Source organism: Homo sapiens, chromosome 1 (assembly GCF_000001405.40).
Source record: "Homo sapiens chromosome 1, GRCh38.p14 Primary Assembly".
In the NCBI taxonomy this organism is placed as follows: domain Eukaryota; kingdom Metazoa; phylum Chordata; class Mammalia; order Primates; family Hominidae; genus Homo; species Homo sapiens.
Genome location: NC_000001.11, coordinates 183,575,612 through 183,592,959, shown reverse-complemented (window position 1 = coordinate 183,592,959; position 17,348 = coordinate 183,575,612). Strand labels below are relative to the sequence as shown.

Sequence of the window (17,348 nt, the reverse complement as noted above, 5' to 3'; positions counted from 1 at the left end):
CAAGGTGGGTTTGAAGGTGCAGACATGGGAGAGGGCAGCCTAGAAAGAGGAACTAGCACGAGTCGCACAGATGCAGGAATGAAGGCATAGCGGGAGAAGAGTAAGCAGCAGAGTTTGTATGGGATTGTGAAGGAAAGTTCTGGGGATAAGGCTAGAAAAGTCTTGGCAGTCAGATTAAGGAGAGTTCTGAGTGTCAGGGTGGGATAATAGGAGGGCAAAAACATTTTTTAAAAATGAAGTCTAATTTAGCTACAAATCCATTTGGTTTTCTCAGGAATAATTAATGTGCTATTCAAGTCCTGATTATTTATTCACTAGATGGAATAGCAATACCTCTTTCTGCCATCACTGCTACCTGCAGGTCATTTACCAATGATTTCTAATTTCTTTTAGAATGTATCCCTTCATCATGTATTGAGTATCTGTGCTAGAGATCCTAGAATGAAAAGGCATGGTCCCAACTTCCAAGGAGCCCATGAATTGAGCAGATAAAGAGATAAATTGCAGTAAGTATGATGCAAGTTTTTGGGTAAAGGTGGTACAAAGGAGAGGAAAATTCTCCTACTACCCAGAGTTCAGGGCTAGATTTAGCACAGTTGGTGACATTTAAACTGGGCTTTGAAAGATGAGTAGGAGTTTGCCAGGCAAAGAAGAGAGCTGGGAAGGCCTTGTAAACACAGGAAAACAATCTGGACAAAGACACACATGTCTTCTTAATTCTCACACCTTCAATCCTACAAGCACTGTGGAGTATACATTTTTAAGTTTTATTTTCAGGCTTTTAGGGGAAGCTTGGTGATAATGAGTGAATTCTTTCAGTTGCTACAAAACAAGAGTTTGCATCTAAGTATTTGACCCCCATAAACATGCATTTTACCTAAAAAGAAGCCTGGATTTTAGCAAGCCAAATTGGCTATACCCTTTACCCCCAGTTATTCCTCTGGGAGGTTTTACTGATTTTTACTTTTCTGGAAAAGCAAGGAAAGAACTCTTAAATCTGTTTTTTCAGAGACTAGTAAATCCATTAGTCATCAGTGCAGGACTTTCATCTCTTCAATTTTTCACTGGAAGATGGGAGAAGTCATAATTCACTGTCATGTGGCTCCCAATTTTGACATTTGCAGGAAATTGGTCCCCTCTGAACTTCATGAATGTTCATAAAAGTTATTTCGGCTGGGCACGGTGGCTCACTCCTGTAATCCCAGCACTTTGAGGGGAGGCCGAGGAGGCCGAATCACCTGAGGTCAGGAGTTCGAGACCATCAGCCTGGCCAACATGGTGAAACCCCATCTCTACTAAAAATACAAAAATTAGCAGGGCGTGGTGGCAGGCTTCTGTAATCCCAGCTACTCAGGAGGCTGAGGCAGGAGAATTGCTTGAACCCAGGAGGCAGAGGTTGCAATGAGCTGAGATCGTGTCACTGCATTCCAGCCTGGGCAACAAGAGTGAAACTCCGTCTCAAAAAAAAAAAAAAAAAAGTTATTTCAGGCCCAGATCAGATGGATCTCCAAAGATTATCCTGTCTCAAAAATTTGTTAATGATAATTTCAGCTCAAGATAAACACTAACATATTAATACAGCCTATGGGATTACAAAAAAGTGAGCAAGGAATTCATTCAAGACTGGAAAGAATTATCCTCTCATCTGACACTCCCATTTAACAAGGGTGTGGAAATCAAGGCCCAGTGACACAGGATTTTTTCTCCATCACTTTGTAAGCCAGGAACCTCTGGCTGGTGACACCCTGCCCAGGCCTCAGTGGGCCACACTACCTGCTGCAGGAGATGGCCTGCCCACTCGGCCTGGGTGGGGAGTTTTATTGAGTGATGAAAACAGCTTTCAGTGGAGAGGGGATGCAGGGGTGGTTCCCCTACCCAAAGGCAGGAAAGTCCCCCCAGTGCGGGTGAGTCTGGGGCTTTTATGGGCTCAGAATAGGGGAGGGGCAGGACATAGGTAGTACTGGAAAAGGCAACATTCAATTGGTTAAAAGGCATTAGTCAGAAATAATTAATTGGGAAAGAGCAGACAAACAGGAACAGAAGTTCTCACTCTAGGTCACGGGTTTCATTTGGGACCAGTAGCCTAGTCTTTCAGCCTTCAGGCTGTTTTTGGCTTGAAGGTGGGGTTTCACCAGGGACCTGCCCCTATCTGCCTAGGCATTTGGCTGCCTCCTGTCATTATCACCAGGGAGGTGCCTCTACCTGCCAAGGTTACCCTGGCTCTAGAAGCAGAACTTTGGCCAGAAGCTGCCACAGAACAGGGGTGGGAGAGAGAAGAGGAGCTGGGTGACAGAGCAGAAGCATTTTGGGGAACTGATCCTTCAGGCAGCAGCTGATGTACTTCCTCTCTCCTCCACACTCCACCCCTACTCGCCCTCTCTCTCTCTGCTTCTTTCCTTTTCTCTCTCATGGTAGGGTTATGAGTCAGTTGCCAAAAGGTGGGGACATTTCCTGATGCATTTGCAACACTGAGAAGTTATCTTAAGGGAGGCTGGGCCCCATTCTACTCATCTGGCCCAGAAAGTGAACACCTTGGGGGCCACTAAGGCAGCCCTGCTAGGGGAGACGCTCCAACCTGTCTTCTCTCTGTCTCCTGGCAGCTCTCTTGGCCTCCTAGTTTCTACCTAATCATGTCCCTGGTGGAGGCCATCAGCCTCTGGAATGAAGGGGTGCTGGCAGCGGACAAGAAGGACTGGAAGGGAGCCCTGGATGCCTTCAGTGCCGTCCAGGACCCCCACTCCCGGATTTGCTTCAACATTGGCTGCATGTACACTATCCTGAAGAACATGACTGAAGCAGAGAAGGTGAGTGGAGGTGCCTCTTTCCGGGCCTCCTCTGTGCATTTGTTATTATGATTCTCAACCCCATTGCATTTCGGAAACCTAACCTCTGGGGAGATTGAAAAGAACAAAAGTTGCCCAAGCTCCACCCCTAGACAGCCTGATTTAACTGGTCTGGGAGGGGCCCCAGGCAGCCAGTTTTAAAAGCTCTCCAGGTGGAGAGCAGGTGAGGGGCAGCCAGGGTTGCCTCTTTCTCCATCTTCTAAATTAAAATCATTCTACAAGTGTCTTTAACACCTTTGTGAAGGCTGTCCTAGTCGTACTTTCTTCTACACAGAACTCCTTCTGGGCACAGAATCTCTATCTATCCCAGCGCTTTACACCTGATTATTGATTCTAAGGCACCTCTTTTGGCTTTCCAAGACTTTCATGTGTGTCGACTTTGCCTGCTCAAGAGATTTAAGGGAGGCACTTACAAAAAATAGCTTTTATCCCAAGTGACAATTCTGATCAATTATAAAGGAGACTCTTTTAAAGATGCTGAGGCTGGCAAGAGGAAATTGTACTGTGATTGACTAGTGATGTCTGCTGGGGGCATGGTGTGGGATGTCTCGCATCTTTTTCGTTATGTTTTCTCACTCAAATACCATAGTATGGAGTTAAGCATTCTCGATAATTATTTTTTTGATTGGTTGTGGTAAGGTGGAAAGGGTATGGAGTTTGGAAGGAGAAGATCTAGGATCGAATCCTAGCCTCTGTCTCTCTCTGGACTTTTAGTCTTAAGCAAGCTATGTAGCCTATGTAGACATCTGGCTTTCAGCTTCCTGAGTTTCTAAATATCATGAAAATTAAGTGAGATGCCAAACTATTAATGTCTCGTGGAACTTCACACCACTGTATAAGAGTTAGTTATTATTTTTACCGATTACTGCCAGTCTTTGCAAGGTGTGGCAGTGGTTGACTCCCCAGGTCCCTTAAAGAATCAGTCCCTTCCACACTCCAACAGTAGGTAAACAAGCCTCAGCCACACCCTCCTGACAGGAAGACAGAGAAGTGACTGAAATGTTCTCACATAGCTTGACAAGTCAATCTCAGGCTCTAAGGCAGAGCATGGCAGGACCCCCCACCTCTGGCTGGAGGAAGGACATGGCCCCACCTCCTCTCAGGGGCCTGCTGAGGGGCTGAGTGAACAGCACCACACATTCTGAGGGCTGATGGACACAAAGTGCACATTGTCCAGGAGAAGAGATTGGCAGCTAGTCTGGGCACAGCTATGCCAGCAGGGACTGTAGCCTCCTGCCTTGGCCTGGATATGGGATCCTTGGCAAGGTTGTGTGGGCCACCACTCACTTCTCAGCTCCCAGGCCTTCAGGCCCACATGTCTCTGTTTCTCCTGGCATTCCTCTGCTTCTAGCCTTCTCATTCCTTCTGCCTTTCTTTGTTTTCCTGCTTGAGCCCTTCCTACTAGCATTTATATGCATTCTTATTCATTATCATTTTAATTGTATACTATTCATGTATAAGTTTGTATAGTAAACAAATATAACAATTTATATAATATTTTAATTATTTTCATTTGCAATAAATTTTATTATTTATTTAAACTGAATGTTCAATACATTCATAGGAATACAAGAAATGCAACAAGGGTTAAAATTTCATTATTACATTAGATATCATTTTTTCTTTCTTTTTTTTTTTTTTTGAGATGGAGTCTCACTCTGTCACCCAGGCTGGAGTGCAGTGGTGCAATCTCGGCTCACTGCAACCTCTGCCTCCTGGGTTCAAGTGATTCTCCTGCCTCAGCCTCCCAAGTAGCTGGGATTACAGGCATGCACCACCAAGCCCGTCTAATGATGTTTCATTTTTCAAAGAAGCTTCTCCTATTTCCCTATCTTTTTTATCTTCCACAGAGCAATAAATAGTAATTACTACTCTCCTGGACAAGGTGCTCTGTTGTGTTGGATAGGAATTGTATCTTTAAGTTTGACATCATTATCACCTCCAAAAACTCTACCTTCACTTCATAGCACAGTCTCGCTGCATTGTTTCACAGTAAAATTGTACTCTACTCAAACTAGGAGAACTCAAAGAAATTAGAGCAAACAGCAGTTAAATTCATATGAATGAAAGACAGAAGACCAAAGATTTTAAAGTACTGATTTAGTAACATAGTGTCTACTGGCTCAAAGCTTCTATCTAATCATATTAAATCATATTATTAAAACAGCGATAATAGAAATGAAAGCTACACTAATGAAAAAGGAACTTGGGAATGAGGTCATTAAATATAACTAACTATATTTTAAATATAGATATGTATTTTTTATTAGTATCAGGTAAATGTCTAAATTATCTATTCTGAATTCTAGTCTCAGAGAAGGTCAGAGACAGTTACAAAGAAGGCGCTTCATATTGTCAAGTCCATTTTTAAAATGATGAGCTCCTTTGGGAAAATGCTTTAGTGTTTCTTTTCTTCTAAGATTTCTGTTGGTGATAATCCATTAGTGTCTGCACCCTTATAGTCCACTTTGTCTTTATTTGTATCATTGGATTTTTTTTTTTTTTTTTTTTTTTTTTTTTTGAGACAGGGTGCCTTACTTTGTTGCCCAGGCTGGAGTGCAGTGGTGCCGTCACAGCTCACGGCAGTCTCCACCTCCTGGGCTTGAGCGATTGACCTACCTCAGTCCCCCAAGTAGCTGGGACCACAGGCATGTGCCACCACATCTGACTAATTTTTAAATTTTTCGTAGAGATGGAGTCTCACTATTTTGCCCAGGTTGGTCTTGAACTCCTGGGCTCAAGTGATCCACCTGCCTTGGCCTCCCAAAGTGCTGGGATTACAGGTGTGAGCAACCGCACCTGGGAATTATTGGATTCTTGTGTAGCTTTTCTAGGCCATATATGACTAACAAAAGCAGAAATCAGATGGTATATGTATGGCTCCAGGAATGTTTTGTAGATCCACAGCAGAACTGGAATGACAATACAAGGAATGCACACCATTGTCCCAGACTTCAGCTTCTAAATGTGAGAGCGAAGTGGGGTGCACCGTGAGAGCACAGGGTGGGCCTCGAGGTGCCGACGAGGGCAGACAGCAGAGCTGGGCACCACAGGGAGCTAGGGCTCTGTGAGCCGTGGCTCATCTCACACCTCCTCACTGCCTTGCATCATGGCCATGTCTGGACCCTTCTCTCCTCAGGCCTTTACCAGAAGCATTAACCGAGACAAGCACTTGGCAGTGGCTTACTTCCAACGAGGGATGCTCTACTACCAGACAGAGAAGTAAGTGGTTCAATGTTGCACCAACTGGAGGATTTCAGAGAGAAACCCAAGGGGTCTCAGTGTTGCGGGCTTGGTGTTTGAGCAGTACCTTCCCAACCTCTGTTGGGAAATGTGACTGGCCCTTCTGGGGACAGTTATGCAATAAATCAGCAGGTGAGGCAGAAGCTCTCACTGGGGAGGCAAGGCAGGTCTGCCACCAGATTATAAATCAGCTGTGTCATAGGCACAATGAGCCTAGGTAACCACCATGGGCCTGATACTCAGCTGGTGTGACACCCCACCAGTGTCCCTGATGGGGTCACCCATGTAGGTCTCCTATGAGGTACTGAGCTGTCACAGAATGGGGATGATCATGAAACTGCATCAAAACCTGGCTTCATCCCAGCAAAATGCATTTCCAAAACCTGGTTTAATCCATTTGAGGAAATATACTTCAGCTGCAAAAATGATAATACAAATTAACATTATATGTATAAGAATAAATTACTACAGATAAGTAAGTAGCGTATGCACTTATACAGAAAAAGTTTGCAGTAGATGTTAATTTTTTTTCTTTTTCCGAGACAGAGTTTCACTCTTGTTGCCCAGGCTGGAGTGCAAGGGCTCGATCTCAGCTCACCGCAGCCTCCGCCTCCCAGGCTCAAGCGATTCTCCTGGCTTACCCTCCCGAGTAGCTGGGACTACAGGCATGCGCCACCACACCCAGCTAATTTTGTATTTTTAGTAGAGATGGGGTTTCTCCATGTTGGTCAGGCTGGTCTTGAACTCCCGACCTCAGGTGATCTGCCCACCTCAGCCCCCCAAAGTGCTGGGATTACAGGCATGTGCCACCACGCCCAGCCAGATGTTAAATTTAAAAACAGATTTCAAAACAGTTCATATAGCATAGTCCCATTTCTGTATCACAGAATAAAGTCTGGAAGGCCATAGATCAAAATGTTATCAATAATTCTCTCTGGATGGTGGGATTATAGGAAAATCCATTTTCTTCTATCACCCTGTCTGCATTTTTAGGTTTGTTTATAGTCAACATGGAATAATTAGTACAAAGATTAATAAATTCAAAATGAAAGTTAATCTCAATTCCTCCTCCCTCTCATCCTGCACAAATACCTCATAACAAATAACAAAGGAAAAAAATTCTAAGTGATAATTTCAAATGTTTTGGGGCATGGGAAACTGACCCTTTGTAGAAACTGTTCCACCAGTGTGCATCAGTTCTAGGGAAGAGGAATTTGGCTCAGGCTAATGAAGAATTTTTTTTTTTTTTGAGACGGAGTTTCGCCCTGTCACCCAGGCTGGAGTGCAGTGGCGCGATCTCGGCTCACTGCAACCTCTGCCTTCCACGTTCAAACAATTCTCTTGCCTCAGCCTCCCAAGTAGCTGGGATTACAGGTGCCCGCCACTACGTCCAGCTAATTTGTGTATTTTTCAGTAGAGACAGGGTTTCACCATGTTGGCCACGCTGGTCTCGAACTCCTGACCTTGTGATCCACCCGCCTCGGCCTCCCAAAGTACTGGGATTACAGGCATGAGTCACTGAGCCCAGCCTAATAAAGAACTTTCTGACAGTGAAAATGATCTGTGCATGGTGTGGGTGGGGTGAGGGTGAGGCCGGGCGTGGATGGAGCAGCAGGGAGGTTGTAGACAATGTCCAGACATCAGAGAGAGGGCTGGGCTCTGATCCTGTGCCACCCTGAAAGGCTTTGATCCTATGGTTTGGTCAGAAACAGAGCCTGTAAAACCCATGTATGCAGCTGTTGCTAAGGGCAACCACAAGATGCTCAAAGGACCTTAAAGATGTAGATGCAGTTAGTTACCTGAAGAAGTGAAAGTAGAAGTGAAGTCTTTTCTAAAAGAAAAACCACAGACACAATGGCAATCTGGGGAGAAAGAGAGCCTGGGATTGGGAGAAGATATCCAGGCATTTAGCTCTCTCTTCCCCCCATATTTAGTGTGACATATTTATTGTGACTTTATAAATTCTTTTTTTAATTTTAATTTTTTATTTTAATGTTTGTGGGTATGCAGTAGGTGTATATATTTATGGGACACATGAGATATTTTGGTACAGCAGGTGTTTATCTTGACCGACGTCTTGCCTCTAACTGCCTGTCCCCGCTCTTAACATCCTTCTCTTTCTCACTCCCCCTTACCCCGTCTCCAGACTATAGAATATGCAGGGAGGCCTAACAACAAATCCTTCAGCCGATCTTAAATCTCAAAACGCAAACTCTAAGGTCATTCCTTAGTGACCTCTAATAGTCTATAAAGAAGAGATACAACTGGCAAAAGAGTGAAGGCTCCCAGAAAGAATTTCCTCCAAAAAATGCCCGTGAGTCCCAGGATCTGGAAGGCCACGGTTTTGAGTGATTAGAAAGATCTTGGAAACTTCTAAAAGTAAGACCCAGGATTCAATTAATCTGTGATTGGTAATATTAATAGTTACACCTGAGAGAAAAATCTACCGAGTTTTATCTGTAATTCAACAATGAGGAAATTATACAAATGAGGCACTAATCTCAACCTCAAGCAGGCCCTCTTGCGCAATTCCCTAGGTGTTGGTATTCCCTTTGAAGTTCTGTTCTTGACCCTTTTCCCTTTTACAACTGCAGCAGTGGTTGTTAAATGGCAAAATGTGTTTCCAGAAATACACTTTCAAGCACACACATTCGTTTATGTACAATTCAGGGGCTATAGATATGAAGTCCGTATGTGAACCTTGAGGATCCATTCCTGGGCAAGGCCACCCTCTCCCATATGGCTGGCCTCCATTTCTCACAGAATCTGTACCTGAGATCCATCCAGGGAATGTCTCTTTCCCTAAACCTCATCAGGTTGACCTCTTAAATATTTCTTAAATCCACCTATTTCTCTCCATCCCCACTAGCACTGCCTTGGTTGAGACCCTCATTTTTCACCAGGACTACTGCAGTCACTTCCAAACTGATTTTCCAGCCACTGCTCTTGTCCCCTCCATTCATATTCCAGAGTGATCTTGTAAAATAAAAAAAAATTTAAAAAAAGCAATCTCTGTGAGAACTTCCAGTGGCTTCCATGACTGCAAGATAAAGGCCAAATTCCCTTGCCTGTTCCTATGTGGTCCAGCTGCTGCCACCCACTCATGCATCCTCCGTGCCTTTGCCCCAGCCATGCCCAACCACTAAGGCAGCGTCTGCTCCCTCTTTTGAGCCTCCTTTTGTAATATGTCTGGCCCGTGACAGATATTTGCTTCCTGTATATATTTGTCTTCTCCACTACTCTACGAATTTCGTAAGAAATCTTTACTTACTCATGCTTGTATTTCAGTATCTAGCATAGTAGTTACTCAATAAATGAGTGTTGGATTAAATAAAAGTGAGCAAAATATAGTCTCCGTTTCAAGGAACTTATAAATTAAAAAGGGGAAACAAGTCAAGAACACCAGTAACTGTAATGCAAGGCAGAAGTGGGTAACTGCTGTAAGAGGTAGTTTTAAGTAAGCGGGATGGGGGCTAGAGAAATTACTTCTTAATGTGTGGGACAGAAATTCCCTCAGATTGGCTGGGCACAGTGGCTCACACCTGTAATCCCAGCACTTTAGGAGGCCAAGGTAGGCGGATCACCTGAGGTCAAGAGTTTGAAACCAGCCTGGCCAACATGGCGAAACCTTGTCTCTACTAAAAATACAAAAAATTAGCAGCACATGGTGGTGGGTGCCTGTAATCCCAGCTACTTGGGACGCTGAGGCAGGAGAATAGCTTGGACCTGGGAGGCAGATGTTGCAGTGAACCGAGATAACACCACTGCACTCCAACCTGGGCAACAGAGCAAGATTCTGTCTGAATAAAAAAAAAAGGAATTCCCTCAGATTACAAAAGGGAATTGTTTAAGGCTGATAATGTTATGGATGGAGGTTTTTCCCCCTCTATTTCCCTCTATTTTCCCCACTTTCGTATGTTTTTGTGTTGCTCTTCCGTCATTATAAAGTTCCAACAGAACAAAGTTAGAGCACATTTCTGAAAAGGCAAGCAGAGTCTCAGGGATAACAGCCAAGCTGTCTCGCCTCTCTAGCCCCAGCGTTGTCATCTGAAAGGCACAGGGGCTCGAAGCTGTCTTTCAGATCCTGTGCCTTATGAATCTTAGGGCATGACAATAAGGGTGAGACCCATTCCATGGAGCTGGCTTAAAGAGGCTCCATAGCAAAGCCTTCTTCCTGCTGACTTGGAAACAGGAAAGGGAGTGGGCCCAAACCTCTGTCACAGCAGCCACTGCAGCATCCCAAAGATGCCTGAAGTTTTGACTTCTTTCAGCTTGCTGAGATTCCATTGTCCTGGGTGCAGGTGTATGAGCTGTGGACTCTGGACGCATGGGGCACTGGCAGCATGGGAACAAGCAGGTTACTAAGAAACCTCCCAGGAGTATTACAGAAATGGGGATTATAAACTCTCTCAAGCCTGGAGCTTGTGAAAAGCTATGGCAAGGTTGCTGCTTCAGCTGGTGGATCCCCTGCCTGGGAGGGGAGGGGCTTTGGGTCCAGTGCAGCCAAGGCGCCCCAAGGGGTGTCACTGAAGTGTGGGTGTGAAGAAAGCACCCATGCCCAGCCCAGCAGAGCCCTGCAGGAAGCTGCCAGCACCTTGGCTGCCTCCTGGGGGATGCTTCCAAATGGCCACGAAGAGAACCGCTGAAGAAGGGCTAGAGGGAGGCGGGGGCTGCCGCAGCACGGCCCACTGGCACACAGCGCTGAATGCTATTTTGGGATTCTCATACTGAGATTATTGCGAACCTGTGTAATGGGAAAAGAGCTGTGTGTCAAAGCGGAACCCCCTTCAGGGCTGCAGCTCTGGGTAAACAAGTGGAGAGGCCGAAAAGAGGCCTGCAGCAGGGAACGAGGGGGCTGGGAAGCAGGCCGGTGCTTTCAGAGACATGTTTAAAAACGACACTTAGTTGGCGAGGCGAGGTGGCTCACGCCTGTAATCCCAGCACTTTGGGAGGCCGAGGCGGGCGGATCACGAGGTAAGGAGATCGAGACCATCCTGGCTAACACGGTGAAACCCTGGCTCTACTAAAAACACAAAAAATTAGCCGGGCGCGGTGGCGGACGCCTGTAGTCCCAGCTACTCGGGAGGCTGAGGCAGGAGAATGGCGTGAACCGGGAGGCGGAGCTTCCAGTGAGCCGAGATCGCGCCACTGCACTCCAGCCAGGGCAACAGAGCGAGACTCTGTCTCAAAAAAAAAAAACACTTAGCAAGGATGCCCCTTCCCCGTTTTAAAAATTAATTAATTAGGCCCTGTGCAGTGGCTCACAGTTGCAGTCTTTGTACTTTGGGAGGCTGAGGTGGGAGGATTGCTTGAACCCAGGAGTTCGAGACCAGCCTGAGCAACATAGTGAGACCCCCGTCTCTATAACAAAATTAATAAATAAAATAAGTAATCTTTTTTTTTTTAGAGAAGGGGTCTCACTATATTGTCCAGGCTGGCCTCAAACTCCTGGGCTCAAGTGATCCTCCTGCCCCAGCCTCTGGCGGAGTAGCTGGAACTGCAGGCTCAAACCTCAGCCCCTGGCCCCACCCTGTTTTTTTGGTTGTTGGACTTTCTTTTCTTTCTTTCTTTCTTTCTTTTTTTTTTTTTTTTGAGTCAGGATTTCATTCTGTCGTCCAGGCTGGAGTGGAGTGGTGCAATCATGTCTCACTGCAGTCTTGACTTCCTGGGCTCAGGTGATTCTCCAACCTCAGCTTCCCGGGTAGCTGGGACTACAGGCACGTACCACTATGCCTGGCTAATTTTTTGTACTTTTAGTAGAGGTGGGGTTTCTCCATATTGCCTAGGCGGGTCCACCCTGTCTTTAAAACAAAGCAAACCCTCTGAATAATTTGTCAGTTCTTTCTCTCTCTCTCCTACCAGGCCCAAATCTGTAGACACCTTTTTTTTTTTTTTGAGTTGGAGTCTCGCTCTGTCAACCAGGCTGGAGTGCAGTGGCATGGTTTTGGCTCATTTCAACCTCCACCTCCTGGGTTCAAGTGATTCTCCTGCCTCACCCTCCTGAGTAGCTGGAACTATAGGCACGCACCACCACGCCCGGCTAATTTTTAAATATTTTTAGTAGAGACGGGGTTTCACCATGTTGGCCAGGCTGGTCTCGAACCCCTGACCTCAAGTGATCCGCCTGCCTTGGCCTCCCAAAATGCTGGGATTACCGGCACGAGCCACTGCACCGGGCCTCTGTAGACATCTTGATGGGCTAGGGAATTATTAGGAGGATTTTGCTGGGCTCATGCAATGCCAGATAGACCCAGGTGGTGTCACTTCCCAGCTGAAATCCATCTGCTTAGCCAACTCAGCAGGGAGGAAGGCACGTTGGTAGGTTGATGCTGACGGCAGTTAAAGTGTGTGCCCTCTGAGACCTTCAGCGAGCTCCCAAACAGGCAATAGAACACAGTGGAAATTGCAGCTGCCAGGAAACAGGAAACCTCTGCTTCTGCCTGTCCTCTTCGCGATGGAAGAGGCTCAGTGAATTGAAGCTAGTTACCCCACCTTCTGGCTTAGAAAGCGGAACCTGATTTCTGGCGTACTTCTGGGTACCTTCTTCCTCTTTCCAGGAACCCAGAAAGATGCGTGGAAAAGACATGAAAGGCCCCATTGCTACTTAAAGAATGGCCTGCATGCATTTAGTAGGTTTTACAACCATCTTTATTAACAGGGATACTAGAGAAAGCCATCCTCCTATTTCAAACCCAAGCTCTCTTCTTTTATTTCCCGCATAGCCACTGCTACCATGTGTGACTTACCTCAACCCTAATGGTGATGGCTTCTCCCCCAGCCACACTGGCACCCGTTCCTTATGACTCTCTTGGCCAACCAGCCCTTGTGCTCAGCTCTAAACTTCCATGAGATCAGAGTTCCAGCTTCTATGCCATGTATTTTTAAAATATCCTGATAATAGCTTATATGGCACGGAGCTTTAAGTAAACACGTAATAAGTGGCTGATGTATGGATTAATTGGTAGAGTGTTAGAGCTAAAGAAAATAAAACAACAAAAACAATAGTAAAAAAATTATGGTGTGTGCCAGGCACTGTCTGAAGTACCCAAATGCTTCATCTCCTTTAGTTCTCACAATGAACCTGTGAGGTATATGCTGTTATTATTCTCTTTTTTTTTTTTTTTTTTTTTTTTTTGAGACAGAGTCTCACTCTGTCACCCAGGCTGGAGTGCAGTGGTGTGATCTCTGCTCACTGCAAGCTCTGCCTCCTGGGTTCATGCCATTCTCCTGCCTCAGCCTCCTGAGTAGCTGGGACTACAGGCGCCCACCACCATGCCCAGCTAATTTTTATTTTTTTATTTTTTTATTTTTAGTAGAGATGGGGTTTCACCATTTTAGCCAGGATGGTCTCGATCTCCTGACCTCGTGATCCACCCGCCTCGGTCTCCCAAAGTGCTGGGATTTCAGGCGTGAGCCACTGCGCCCGGCCTTATTATTCTCTTATTCTAAAGATGGGGAAACAGACTTAGGGAAGCTAGGTAACTTGCCGTTTCTCACCAGATAGTAAGTGACGGAGCCAAGACTCAAACCAGGTGGTTTTGACTCCAGAAGTGGGATCCATATGCTGGCAAGCTCCCTATATGATACATTCTTTGCATATAATATGTCCCTGTATACAATATGCTGCCATAATATTGGTGTGGAACTTCAGGCCAGGAAAGTGACTTGCTAGGGTCCCCCAGTTAGTGGCAGAGCTGTTGGATCTGGACTCTGGCTCCTGGCCCCTTTACTACATCACACTGCCTCTTGAGGATTCCTGCCAGCCTGTGTCCACATTCCAGGCTTATCTCCAAGAGAAGCCGGGTTGGTAGCTCTGGGTCAGATGGTGGCCTAGGGACTTACAGACTTACAGTCCAGTTGCCCAGGTGTGAGCCACAACCAGGCAGCCAAATTTGTTCCTGCCAGGTCAGGGGACTGAGTGGAGTGAGGCTGGCGTAGCTTATGCCTGCTGCTCCCACCCCCTATAGCCCAGCAATGGCTCCCTCCCACCAGGGCCTCTGTGGAGCCCATGGTCAAGGCCTGGGCCAGCATCCTCAGAAGTGTGTGTCCAGGTCCCACCTACATGCCTGTGGGCCCTATTGATGTGGTCAGCTCCCATTCTCTGCTACAAGTCCCAGGACAGCAGCCCTGGTATACATCGAGCCAGTCAGCTCCACGCCAATCCAGCAGCACAAGGCAGTGGGAGCAGCATTAGAAAAACTATCTGGGGCTGGGCATGGTGGCTCATGCCTGTAATTCCAGAACTTTTGGGAGGCCAAGGCGGGCAGATCAGTCGAGGTCAGGAGTTTGAGACCAGCCTGGCCAACATGGTGAAACCTGGTCTCTACTTAAAATATAAAAAATTAGCCGGGCGTGGTGGCGCTCGCCCGTAGTCCCAGCTCAGTCCCACTCAGGTGGCTGAGGCAGGAGAATCACTTGAACCTGGGAGGTGGAGCTTGCAGCGAGCTGAAATCCCACCACTGCACTCCAGCCTGGGCAATACAGTGAGACCCTGTCTCAAAAAAAAAGAAAAAAAAAAGGAGGAAATACTATATAGCATAAGTGGTTGTTTTTTTTTCTTTTCCAAAGTGTAGGGAGGAGGCAGAAGTGGCGGGCGGTGAGGAAACAAAGAAGACCACAAAACCAAGCTCTAAGTTGAACTCAAAAGAAGCCATGGGCGAAGGCAGTGGGCAGGAGGGTGATGGTGGCAGCTATAAGAAGGGGCCCCTCCAAGCTGTGCCAGGCTGGCCTGGCCTGATGGTGGGAGCCAGGAGTGAGCAGTATTCCAAATCAGCTCTGAACACTCTGCAGGGACACAGGCAGGGGGCAGGTGCTGGCTCTGCTTGGAGCTCTCAAGAGAGAATGAGAGCTGCATCGGAAAGCGACAAGTCAGGTTGTCAGAAAGGTGACAGTTGTATGCAGTCAATAGAGAAGAAACTCCCTGTGACTGTCCAAGACGAGGCACTCAGGGTTGCTTTGAGGCACAGCCCTGGGGGGAACACCATTCCCAAGGAGTTGTATAGAATACTTGGACTCAGGGTTGCTGAAAACTAGAACAGGTCAAAAGGAACTGAAAGGCTTCTTGTCCCAGTGAAATAGATGGGGAAGGGAGAAGCAGACTCACATTTTATGCTGCATTTATTTCTCCATCCACTAGACTGCTGTATTTTCTCCCTCTGTCCTGCAGATATGATTTGGCTATCAAAGACCTTAAAGAAGCCTTGATTCAGCTTCGAGGGAACCAGCTGATAGACTATAAGATCCTGGGGCTCCAGTTCAAGCTGTTTGCCTGTGAGGTAAGGAGAACAGGGCCTGGCCTGGGCAGGAGGGGATCATGGCTGGATGGATGGCTGACAGTTCAGATGCACAGTGATCTGTTGACACCTCCAGGAGCTTGGAAAAGCCATTTTGCCTCCTCTGCCTTGAGACTCAGATTTTCCTTGAAGAAAAGACTGAGATGGATTATTTCAGGCTCATCAAGGCATTGTCATCAGTTACCTGGGGGCATACATTTTATTAATGTGAAGCGCAAAGGACCATGCAAAAATGAGCCCCCCGGGCTCTCTGAAGGGAGGCTGGACACGAGTGTGTTGGCTTGTGGAAATATTCATGATAATTTGCATGTTTTGATTGGCACTTCAGATTGACAAGCTATTTGTTCAGCATTTTGCTAGCAAATCCAAAATCATGAGTTCATTGTCCGTGCAGGACCTGCCAGAAGCTTGCTCAGTTCCCAAGTTTATAGACCACACTCTTTACTATCCATGGTTCTTACCCCATGTACTTGATTGATACCTAAAGAGAGACTGAGGATAATTTGGCATAAATCTGTCCCCTCTTGCTCAAAGAACAGCTCAAGGCACATATTTAGGTAAAGGTTTCTGCAAAACAACTTCTTTTCTCTATTATCAAAAGGGAGAGACATGACTGGCTTTGACTTTGCAGGTTCATTTACTTTTTCCGGTTGGCCCTTCCCACCCCTCCCACTTCCAAATATATACTAGCAGTTTTGAAAACCAAAATTCCTGTAAATGTCAAAGACCTTTCTTTAGAAAAATCACTGACAAAAGTCCCCTTGCTTTAGTTTCTCAGGCACAAGAAGTCAAGTGTTCCCAGGGTCGCTCAGGGCTAATAATAGAGTCTGTAGCCGCCCTCGGCCCCTGGGGACATATGGCCCCATCCCAACCCTGCAGCAGGCTAGCAACTAACTTCACGTCTCACAGTCTGAGAAGATGGGGCTTTGCAGTTGGAATTGGCTGCCATTCGACCAACTTCTCGAGTAAGGTTTCTCAGCTGTAGCTCTGTTAATATGTTGGACCAGACAATCTTGTATTGTAGCAGAGGCGAGAGAGGGGTTGTGGTGCGTCCTGCGCATCGTGGGAACTTTGACGGCATCTCTAGCTTTTAGATGCTACTAGCACTGCCACCACCACTCCCCACCCAATGTGACAACCTAAAATCCCTCCAGACATTGCTAATAAGCCAATGACAGCCACTTATACAGATTAGAAAGTTGGGGGACAAGTGGCTCTAGAAAAAGGATTATGTCACAGCAGCATCAAAGTACAGTTCCATGGGAGGAATGTTTCCCCTGGAGTTGGGGTTAAAATGGCCCTGAGAGGACAGAAAATACTGGCTGAGTGGCCCTCTCTGCAAGTAAAGCTGAACTTTTCAGGGTCTAAGGCCCTCTTTGTCACATGGGACCTTCCAGTCATTTCCCTACTTATAATCCTTCTCTTCCTGATGTGGTATGACCCTGGCTTCTGAGAATCACATCATTATTTTTGAAGAGTGTCAAGGTTTTTCTCATCATTAGTTCATAAAAACTGATTGTAGAGAAATGTCTTAAGAGAAGGTGGCTGAGAACCAAATAGGAAATTTTAAACGATCTGAGTTCTTTCTTTCTGCACACAAGGTCAGGAGTGGGCTGGAGAAGCCAACGAATTCAGAAGGCAGTAGCTCATTGAATCTCAGAAATAGGACTGAAAGGAGTCCAGATTTCCACTTCCGGGGTTGATCCTGGCCCCCACCATTCAGCACCAGCCACTAATGCCACAGAAACATCAATCCTTCCACCTGTCTGAGTTTGGCAAGTTCACGTCATTGTTGGCAGGAGGCCTCAGTTCTTCGCTACATGAACTTCTCTCTAGGGCTGCCTAAGTCTTGTCATGACATGGCAGCTGGCGTCTCTGAGAGCAAGTGACCCAAGAGCAAGACAGTGTCAATGTCTTTTATAATCTAGCCTCAAATGTCACACCCCCTAATTTCCATAATATCCTATTT

The 17,348-nt window shown here is 46.3% G+C and overlaps 1 protein-coding gene and 1 pseudogene across 11 annotated transcripts in view, besides 2 other annotated features; one reads left to right on the top strand and one right to left on the bottom strand.

The window, feature by feature from the left end:
• Positions 1–17,348, top strand: part of NCF2 (neutrophil cytosolic factor 2) — a 46,288-nt gene that overhangs the window by 8,890 nt on the left and 20,050 nt on the right. For 6 of the 11 annotated variants that reach the window (NM_001190789.2, NM_001190794.2, XM_005245207.2 and 3 more), the window contains exons 1-3: positions 2,501–2,804; positions 5,983–6,065; positions 15,253–15,361. In NM_001190789.2, coding sequence (NP_001177718.1) covers positions 2,631–2,804; positions 5,983–6,065; positions 15,253–15,361 — 366 coding nt within the window. In that variant the 5' untranslated portion in view covers positions 2,501–2,630. Of the gene's footprint in view, positions 1–393; positions 507–2,045; positions 2,338–2,367; positions 2,439–2,500; positions 2,805–5,982; positions 6,066–15,252; positions 15,362–17,348 lie in introns of those variants that run through there. The other 5 variants (NM_001410895.1, NM_001127651.3, XM_047421222.1 and 2 more) reach the window with 4 other exon arrangements.
• Positions 1,772–2,111: an enhancer, noted in NCBI's record as "active region_2217". NCBI's record gives its function as "activates an Ori minimal core promoter by ATAC-STARR-seq in GM12878 lymphoblastoid cells {active_cell/tissue: GM12878}" and the evidence as "EXISTENCE:reporter gene assay evidence [ECO:0000049][PMID:35858748]".
• Positions 2,222–2,481: an enhancer, noted in NCBI's record as "active region_2216". NCBI's record gives its function as "activates an Ori minimal core promoter by ATAC-STARR-seq in GM12878 lymphoblastoid cells {active_cell/tissue: GM12878}" and the evidence as "EXISTENCE:reporter gene assay evidence [ECO:0000049][PMID:35858748]".
• Positions 4,636–5,352, bottom strand: C18orf32P1 (C18orf32 pseudogene 1; annotated as a pseudogene).